General features: G+C 38.5%; 1 annotated feature.

The window, feature by feature from the left end:
* Positions 8,185-8,735: an enhancer, noted in NCBI's record as "OCT4-NANOG hESC enhancer chr6:145327891-145328441 (GRCh37/hg19 assembly coordinates)". NCBI's record gives its function as "activates a minimal SCP1, AML or CMV promoter by ChIP-STARR-seq in naive H9 embryonic stem cells {active_cell/tissue: H9 hESC(naive)}" and the evidence as "EXISTENCE:reporter gene assay evidence [ECO:0000049][PMID:30033119]".

The following is a 10,035-nucleotide window of genomic DNA, read 5'->3' as shown; positions in this document are numbered from 1 at the left end:
TTTACTGGAGTTTTTACTTTTGATTTGGCAAGAAAAAATTAATTCTTTAGTTCAGTATTGTTAATGTAAATCACTCATAGGTACATGAGTTCAAATTTTTTAGTCATATCAGTAGTTCCTGGTTATGTTAACAAAAAGTAGTCTAATTTTAAAATATTTTCCTGGAAATAAGAAAAAGAATTCAAAATTCATTTTTTTTATTCATTCCAGCATTGAACTTATTTATTGGCTACTATACGCAGAGTTTACAGAAATGAGCAAAACACAGTCCCAAACTCAAGGCATTCACAATCTAGTGGGAAAGACCCACAAATTGACAATCATAAATAATTACAAACATATACATCTACACACACACATAACGTTAGAGAAAAACTAAAAATAACTCTTTCCAGGGGAGATAGTGTTTGAGTCTTGAAAACCAAACAAGAGGTAAGTCAGCATTCCAGAAGGGAACACAGGGAAAGAGCTGCAGAGTGCAAGTAATAGTATTTGCAAAGTCATGAATCTGTGAAATACTTAGGGCATTCACTACATTTCCACTAACTCAGACTGGTTGGAATATGGAATATATGAGTATGACAGAAGGTGAGCATGGGATGTGGATCACATAGGTTTTATAAATTCACTTCGAAGAGATACAATTTAACTCTTTGAGCAATGGGAAGCCAGTAAACATTTTAAAACTTACAAATGTCAAAGTCACTTTCAACTCAATATATCCAAACCCAGTACATCTAGTTTCCCTCCAAACCTAGCTCTCACCTGGTGCTGCATATTCTGGTGACTGTTGCCATCATCTGTGGTATTTCATAAACCAGAAATATATGCAGCATTTTTGACATGAAATCTCAATCCCCATACTTACTCTGTCAACAGATCACTACTAAAATATCTCTCCAGTCCCTCAGTTTACCTCCTTTTCAACAGTCACCACCCCAGTCCAAGTTTCTAGTACTTCTCATCTAGATTATGTTGATAAAGTACTAGCTGGTCTTCCCACATCTCTGGTTTTCCTCCAAGCTGATATTCACATTGAAGCAAAAGCTAGTAAAAAGTGCAAATCTTATTCCTTCTTTACCGTATTTAAAACCTGTTACTTTGCAATGCTCTTATGATGAAAACTAAGGACCTTAAAAAGTGCCTGTAATAATTTGCATAACTTGGCCCTTGCTGGCTTTCCCAACTCTTCTCCCCTCACTCTCTGGGCTACGGCCATGCTGGTCTTGTCTCAGCTCCTCAAATATATGCTGGGCCCCCACCCCAACGCTGTTGCACTTGCTGCCTTCTCTATCTAGATTAACCTATCTACCCTCCATAGTTTCCACCTCTCTCCTCCATTGTCACTTCCTCAGGCTAACCTTTTCTGACATCTCCAGTAGGTCACATACTTTTGTTACATATTTACGTGTTCTTCAGTGTAATTATTAGTACTTGACTGTGTGTCTTTGCCATTGAACTTTCTTTTTATCATTATTGTATTTCTGGCATCTAATGATGCTCAACAAATCTTTTTGAGTAAATGAAGATGACATTAACAATTTGTGTTTTAAAAAGTTATTTTTGATAGGAATATGAAAAAAACGAATTTGCGTGAACATGATTAAAAGTAAGGATCGAATTAAGAGATAAGTTTGATAATCAGACTTGAGATGGTGGAGGTTTGAACAAAACATGGAAGTAAGATTAGAGAGAAGAAGGCAGATCTGAGCCCTATCAAATAGAAGCATCATCTTACGTAACTAAGATTTCCTTCTGAAATCAGAAAATAACCTATCAGTTTATAGAAATTGCTGGATGGCTGTCACAGTATTTAGATGCTTCTAGGTCTTTGGGCCAGGAACTTTTCTTTATAGCAGAAAGTTTAATTGATTGTTGATGCATAGGTTATTTTAAACAAGTACAAAGAGGTATCCTAAGATAAATATAAGTCGTTTCTATTTTAGGAAGGGGTCAGTGGGGAAGTGAGAGAGATCCCAGAATACATGTATTTCAAAAAGTTTCCTATGTGAAATTGACATAACCTTTACTTCTACTTCCACCCTTGTTATTGGCCCCTGATATAAGCTCTTTGCCTTGACTCCATTAGGGATGGGAGATGAGTAGTACCATGATGCTACCCTACAGCTTCAAAAGCCTGTCAACTCTGAGCAATCAGAGCTTTTTATGTTGTAAAGAGCTTATGCTAGATGAATAGAATACAATTTTGGCTCATCTATGCATGAGATGCCTTAGAAAAAACTTAGTCACTGTGGTGTAGTCTTAGGCCACAATGAATTTCTGAGAGAATACGGCAGTGCCATAATCTATTTCAAAGCACTTGGAACGGAAAAGTCCTCTTTCTAATTTTCAAGGAAGAATTTGAAGAGTTGAATGTGGCAATGCCATGTTTGCTCTTTCAACCTCCAAATGTATCCATTCAGCTCCTACACATAAAACTCTAGGAATCTTCAGTGTGCTTTGTCACCCATGAATGTGCCTATTAAAAGACATTTGCAGAAATTTCTCTTTCAGTTAGTGTGCTTCCCTGTGAATGGGCTCATCTTTTTAAATGTGGAAAAACATTAGGGCCATTCAGCGTCCTCTGCAAGATGTCTATTAGGGATGCAAATGTGCAGATATGGACAAAAATAGTAGTCCCACTTGTAAAACATCGAGTTTGGGAAATTTAACTTAGAGAGAAAGCACTGCTACTTTCCATTTGAGCAAAATTTTTTAATTCTTTGTATCTACATATTCTCAGACTTCATTTCCTCTCCACTCCTCAGATATGGTCATACATTTAGTCCTTGGCATTCTAACTTTCTTGTTCTACATTTTTTTATCACAAAATTCTCATACAAATTCTTAGCTTCACTATTTACATCTGCTACTCTGAGATTTAGTCCAACACCTCCAACTGCCTGCTAGACAATTCTACTTAAACTTAAGATGTCATAAGCCAAGCTCATCATCTTTCACCTACCCCACCCACAGAGACATTATCAGTGCAATAGACTAGATGTCAGCCTTCACTTAACACTTTCTGTGTTGACTGGTTCAAATGGTAATCGAGTGCTGTTGGCCCTTACCATGCCTACTATTTCACAAACCTATCCTTATCCATCAACATTCCTTTAATCTTACCCACCAATTGTGTCTCTGCTGACACCACAGTTCATGGATTTTTTTGCTCTTTAACCTGAACCAGGCTCTCAGTACTGCTCATCAACATTTTGTTTATTTGTAGTTGAATTGCTCTTTAAATCCTCACCGCAGCTGTTGCTCACATCCTCCCGTGGCCCGACACCCTCATCTCCACAGTCAAGCCAGGCTACATATCACAAGCTCTCTAAGCTTGCGTATGCTCCTTCTCCAATGTATGTTGTTATATTTGTATCTGTTACTTTTTATTTCCAAACACATATTTTACATTTTGCCCAGTATAACCATTTCCCAGTGTCCTGAACCCAGTTTTATTCATTTTCCCTGGCAATTTATTTCATCATTCATCCTCCATAGTTCCTTCATTTCTGTTCACATAATATCCATTGGCATTTTTTCTCTCATCTACCAATATATATAGTTATAACATTTTCTTAAAAATAAATTTAGAAATACCTGTGTTTCCTCTTCTAGCTGCTGTACTAGCTCTATCTTCCATTTCTTGGGAAATGTCTATAATCAAATTATTTCTGTATACTTTTAATCCTGATTTCTTCTCTACCTACTTAATGATTTGGCAGTGCATGATCAGCCATTACACTGCTAATAAAATCACACTTTCAGGGTCATCAGTAACCTCCTTATTACCAAACTCAGTAACCCTTTTCAGTCTTCCTCTTCCCTGACTACCCTGCATTATCTAACATTTAACTCTTTTCTCTTCATTATCTCTCTTGCCTAATTTCCATGAGATTACACTTACCACTAAGCAGATACTCTCCTTAACTTTGTGACAAATCTTTTTAGTCCTTTATTGGCTCCTCAATAGTCTACCTCCACAGCTCCTCAGGCTTCTCTCCATGTCCTTTTATTTTCCTTCATCTTCAATACATTCTTCCTTGTTATTTTTATTATTATTATTATTATTATTTTTGAGACAGAATCTCACTCTGTCACCAGGCTGGAGTGCAGTGGCATGATCTCAGCTCACTGCAACCTCTGCCTCCCAGGCTCAAGGGATTATCCTGCCTCAGCCTCCCGAGTAGCTGGGATTACAGGTGCAGGCCACCACGCCCAGCTAATTTTTTGTATTTTTTTTTTTTTTTTTTTTTTTTTGAGACGGAGTCTCGCTCTGTCGCCCAGGCTGGAGTGCAGTGGCGCAATCTCGGCTTACTGCAAGCTCCACCTCCTGGGTTCACGCCATTCTCCTCCCTCAGCCTCCCGAGTAGCTGGGACTACAGGCACTCACCACCACGCCCAGCTAATTTTTTTTGTATTTTTAGTAGAGACAGGGTTTCACCATGTTAGCCAGGATGGTCTCAATCTCCTGACCTTGTGATCCACTCTCCTTGGCCTCCCAAAGTGCTGGGATTACAGGTGTGAGCCACTGCGCCTGGCCAATTTTTTGTATCTTTAGTAGAGACAGGGTTTCACTATGTTGGCCAGGCTGGTCTTGAACTCCTGACCTCAGGCGATCCACCAGCCTCAGCCTCCCAAAGTGCTGGGATTACAGGCGAGAGCCACCACGCCCAGACCCTTATTAATTTTTTCTGTTGCTATTGCCTTTGCTTCAGTGCTCATTTCTTAGAAATGGATCTCAAATTTTGTATTTCCAGTTTCAATGCCCAACCCTCTTCCTACACTTGAGGCAATTATTCATTACCACCATATTTTCCCAAATTCTACACTTAAATAAATCTCATTGTCTTCAACTAAATGCCTCTACCTCCTGCATTCCTTTTGTTTTTCATTTTTTTCAGTTCTCCATATACTAAGTGTATTCATTCCACATTTATTCTGCTCATGCTGTGTCAGTTTAAGGATTCAAACAGAAAACTAGAAACCACTAAAAATACTTTAAACAGAAAGAACTTTCTGCAGGAAATTGGTTCACAGGTGATGGAAGACCTGAAAAGCAAGACAGGATGTCTCAGTCTATTTCTGCTGCTATAATGAAATTCAGCAGAATGGGTAATTTGTAAATAATAGAAATTTATTTTCCACTTTTCCTAAGGCTGGGAAATCTAAGATCAAGGCAAGTTCAGTGTCTGGTGAGGGCTGGGTCTCTCTGTTTCCAAGATGGTATCTTGGAAACACTTTGTCCTCCAGAGGTGAAAAACGCAGTGTCCCTACATGGTGGAAGGTGGAAGGTAGAAGGTCAAAGGGGGCCTAAGCTAGTTCCCTCCAGCCCTTTTATAAGGCACTAATCCCTTGCTCAGAGCAGAGCCCTCAGGACTTAATCACATCCCAAAAGATCCCATCTCTTTGACCACCACAGTGGTGATCAAGTTCCAATACATGAATTTTGGGGGGACATTTAGATCATAGCACAAGGGATGGTGAGGCAACACATAGATTAGCAAATGCTAATCTTAGCTAGAAGGATGAGGAGAGGAAGTTTTGTAGAAAGCTCAAGATTTAAGTTCACTCAGAAGAAACTGGAACTATGCCAGAAGCTATAGCAACAGGAAAGATGCAGCTGTTCCCAGAGAAGCTGTTCAAGTCAGGAAGAGAGGGTGAGAAGTACCCTAGATTCTTACTTCTTCTTGTCCACCAGTCTCCCCTGGTGCCTCCTACTGACCAAACCAATCTGGAAGCCAGTGGTGATCATAACCTGGGAAATGCAATCTACAGAATTCATCCCTCCCTTCCTCCCTACCCAACTCTGCTATATGGACCAGAGTCAGAGGAGAGTGAAGACAGGATGTGACAGCAAAATAGGCCAAAAATGGATTATTCTGTATCCATTTTTACTATTCAGCCATCTTTTCCTCTCATGCAATACCACCAAGCTTCCACCTAATACGTTGTAAGTATTCTTTGTAGAAAGTTCTTCCCGTGTGCTCCTAAAGAAAGGAGATACAAACCTCTGTGTCTGTCCCTATGTCTATCTCAATAACTCAGGGACTCCTCATGATATGCAGTTATCTACATCTATTTCAGATGTAATTTCTCATTGGCCTAGCGACTGTGAAACTCAACTGTAAAGTTAAGCACAGCCAACATCCCTTTTATTAAAAAGTAGAGGAAAGAAAAAGAGGAAAACATAATGTCCTTAGCAGCCTCAGTCCCCATTTATGTAACTGATGCCAAGACCATAGCTAATATTTTTTAATATAAAAGCTTTTCTGAGATGTAATTCATATACTGTACAATTCATCAATTCAAAATATGTAATTCAATGGCTTTTATTATAGTCAGAGTTGTGCAGCTATCACCATAGTTTTAGAAGATGTTCATCACCCCCAAAACAAACTCTGTGCTCATTAACAGTCACACTCCATTGTTGAAGATCCCCCGTCTCATTTCTTTGAAGATCAGTTCAAGACTTAGCCACCTAGGCTTTCGGGCTCTTCTCCAGATTCTGAAATCTGTAGCATTTACTGTCTGGACAATTCATTTGGATTCCCCCTAGAGCCATTCATCTTTTTATGTATGTGCTCTGTCTCTCCAATTAGATTATAAGCTCTTAAGAAAAAGACCCTTGTCTTGATTGAAGAGATAGAAAAAATATTTAGAAATGTAGCTCCTTCATCGAATTTAATCCTTTTTCATTTGTGTTTGATTAATTCATATTACTGCACACTCTTCTCCTAACAGAGATTTTCTTGCTTAATCATTTTCCCAGAGAAAATAATTCAAAACTGCCGGAACAGACTTAAACAGAAAATTTAAGGTGTTCATTAAAATGCAAAAATGGAACAGATTAGAAAAAAAAACATCAGAAATCACTTGTTATTCTCATCTACTGTGAATATGCATTTAAGATGTGCTGGAAATGCTGGTTTTTCTTTTATTCCAGTATTAAAATAGTGCCCATTCACTGTCGTATATAACAAAGCATGATATTAACTAATGGGGAAATAAAACACATTCATTTCTTCTAATAAATACTAAATTTGCAAGTTAAAGTTGGTGTTAGATCTAGCACACTTGTAATCAATTCTTTCAAATGTATAAATATTTATATATGTTTTTAAATATGTGTAAGGATATCTTGAAGTGTTTCTTATGAACTGGAACACATGTACCTGTTGTTTATGGTTTTCTTTTTCCTCTCCTCTCTTCCCTTCCTTCATTGTTTTCTCATCCTTTTCTTTTTTTTTTTTTTTCTTATATCCTCTTGCTTCTTCCATTTCTCTTAGGAAGACATTGGTACAACTTCTTATACTTGTTAGGAGCAATCTTGAAAAGCTAAGAAAATTAAAATAACTGAGTAAGAGGAAGTTCTTATAAAATTAGTGTGAAGTTTTTTTCCCTCTCTAAATCTTATGGTCACCATGAAAATAGCAACAGGTCATGTATCCTTTATATTACACTCTAAAATGAATACTTACCTTGAAAACTATTTTGAAATATACCAAAAATTTTACATTAGACTGCATCAGGTAACATTTTTATAGTGCTTATTTTGTGTGTGGAATTGCATAAATGGTTGAGAATGTTTTATAATGTACTAGAGAAAGACATAAAAAGAAAATAATCACAAGGCAGTGAGGAAAAGATGTATAAAATGTGATAGGAGCACTGAGCCTGGTCATTCAGTTTACAAGTAATTATGAATGCCCAGTTTGTGCAAGGTACTGCTCTAGGTGCTGGGGATACCAAGTATTTTCCTTCAAGCAATTCATGGTTAATACATAGTGACCTTACAGTGTGATAATCCACCTGAAATTTAAAGGTGAATACAGACTGTTATGTGGAAACCAGAGAAGGAAGTCAGGACAGGGAAAGGAATTTCAGGAGTGTCAAGAAAACTTTTGAAAAGAATTTACTTCAGACTGGGATCTTGCACAATGAATAGAAGTAGAACATACTCTACCTTGTAGAAAAAACAAAACAAAACAAAAAAAACACAAAAAAACGGTGCGTGGAGATGAAAAGGACAAGAAAAGGGCATCCCATGCAGAAGGGACGGCACAAGATTGTCTTCATCTACTGAGGCTGCTTTAACAAAGTACCATGAACTGGGTCACAACAGAAATTTATTTCTCACAGTTCTGGAGGCTGGGAAGTTCAAGATCAAGGTGATGATAGACTGGGAGTCTGGGAAGGTCCTCTTGCTAGTTCAAAGATGGCCATCTTCTCACCGCGTCCTCACATGGTGGAAAGAGTGAATAAGCTCCCTTGGACTTCTTTTATAAAGGGACTAATACCATTCATGAGGGCTCTACCGTCCCGACCTCATCACCTCCCTAAGGCCCCCAGCTCCTAATTCATAGGATTTTAACATATGAATGGGGGGCAGGCACAAACATTCAGACCATAGCAATGACCCGTATAAAGAACCAAGTATTGTCTTTCAATGACCACAGATTGGTATCTCTGAATTTCCAGGTGCTCCTGAGGAATTCGCAGGAGACAAGACTGGGAGGCAAGCAAGCAAGAACCAAGCCATTGAACTTTTTGTGCCATGCTAAAGTCATCAGATTTCATTCTGAACACAATAGGAAGCCATTAAGAAATTGTTAAGTAACATTACTATCAGGTTTACGTTTTAGAAAAATTAGTCTACTCCAGTGACAGGATATGCTGGCCAGCTGAATGTTGGAAGAAAAGTATTGAGGATAGAAGGAGATTCGTGAAGAATCCCCATTGCCGTTCTACAGGTGGGAAAGTATAAGGGTCTGAACTGAGGCTCTGGCAGTGGGGATGCAGAAGAGAGTAAGAAGAATAGAGAAAGTTAGTTTAGAAACAATAGTACTTATTACTTTTTTATTGTATAGAGAGGAGAGAAGAGGAAAAATTATTGTGGCTTGTGCAGCTTATAAGGAACTAGGCAGAGGAATATTTGAAGAGGAAGAAATGAGTTAAATTTTGAACATACTGTGCTTACCATTCTAAGATAACATTAAAATATTCAGGAGGCAAGCCAGGCACAGTGGCTCACACCTGTAATCCCAGCCTTTGGAAGATCAAGGCAAGCGGATCACCTGAGACCAGGAGTTTGAGAGCAGCCTGGCCAACATGGTGAAACCCCATCTCTACTAAAAATACAAAAAATCAGTTGGGTGTGGTGGCAGGCACCTGTAATCCCAGCTACTCGGGAGGCTGAGGCAGAAGAATCTCTTGAACCTGGGAGGTGGAGGTTGCAGTGAGCCGAGATTGTGCCATTGCACTCCAGCCTAGGTGACAAGAGTGAAACTCTATCTCAAGAAAAAAAAAAAAATTCAGGAGGCAATTGGAGGTATGAGTTGATGTTTGAGGAAAGAGGTCAGTGTTGGCTGTGTGTATGTGCGACACAGAAAGGGTGTGAGGGGAGAGATACAAAGTTAGGAGGGAAGAGAAGTCTTGGACCAAAAGGAACTCCAGTACTTAAGCATCCTGCAGATGAAGAGAGAAGTCATAAATGGCAGACAAGCAGCTGGAAGGAAAACCAGAGAGTGCTAGAACCACAAGAGCAGTTTTGAAAAGGAGTAGGCAACCGTGTCAAATACAACAAAGATATATGCACATTTATTTCTTTATACTTTTCCATTGTCTAAAAGTTTTCTAACCTTAGTTTTTATTTTAATAGATAGAAAATCTCATACATAACCAACATCACTCCATCTTTACTCCAGCCTGAAAATTACTTCATTAGAAAAAATTTCTATTTTTAAAGCCCTGCGGGATGACCAAATTTGTGTTTCAGAAGGTCATTCTAACTGAAAGTAGTTTAGAGGCTCTAGTAATAGTTTCAGAGATGACAGAGAGAAAGGGATGAATTCAGGCAATATATTTATTATTGAATTGATGGAATTCTATATTTAAATCAGAAAGGAAAAGTGAAGGAGATGAGAGAGTCATGGTTAATTTAGAGGTATCAGGGCTGAGCATCTAGACAAAAGATGGCCCTATCCGAGAGGTTTTAAAAACTAGGTACTGAATCGGGAAAGGTGTATTAGCCAG

Source organism: Homo sapiens, chromosome 6 (assembly GCF_000001405.40).
Source record: "Homo sapiens chromosome 6, GRCh38.p14 Primary Assembly".
NCBI lineage: Eukaryota > Metazoa > Chordata > Mammalia > Primates > Hominidae > Homo > Homo sapiens.
This window is presented reverse-complemented; position numbering and strand designations above follow the sequence as displayed.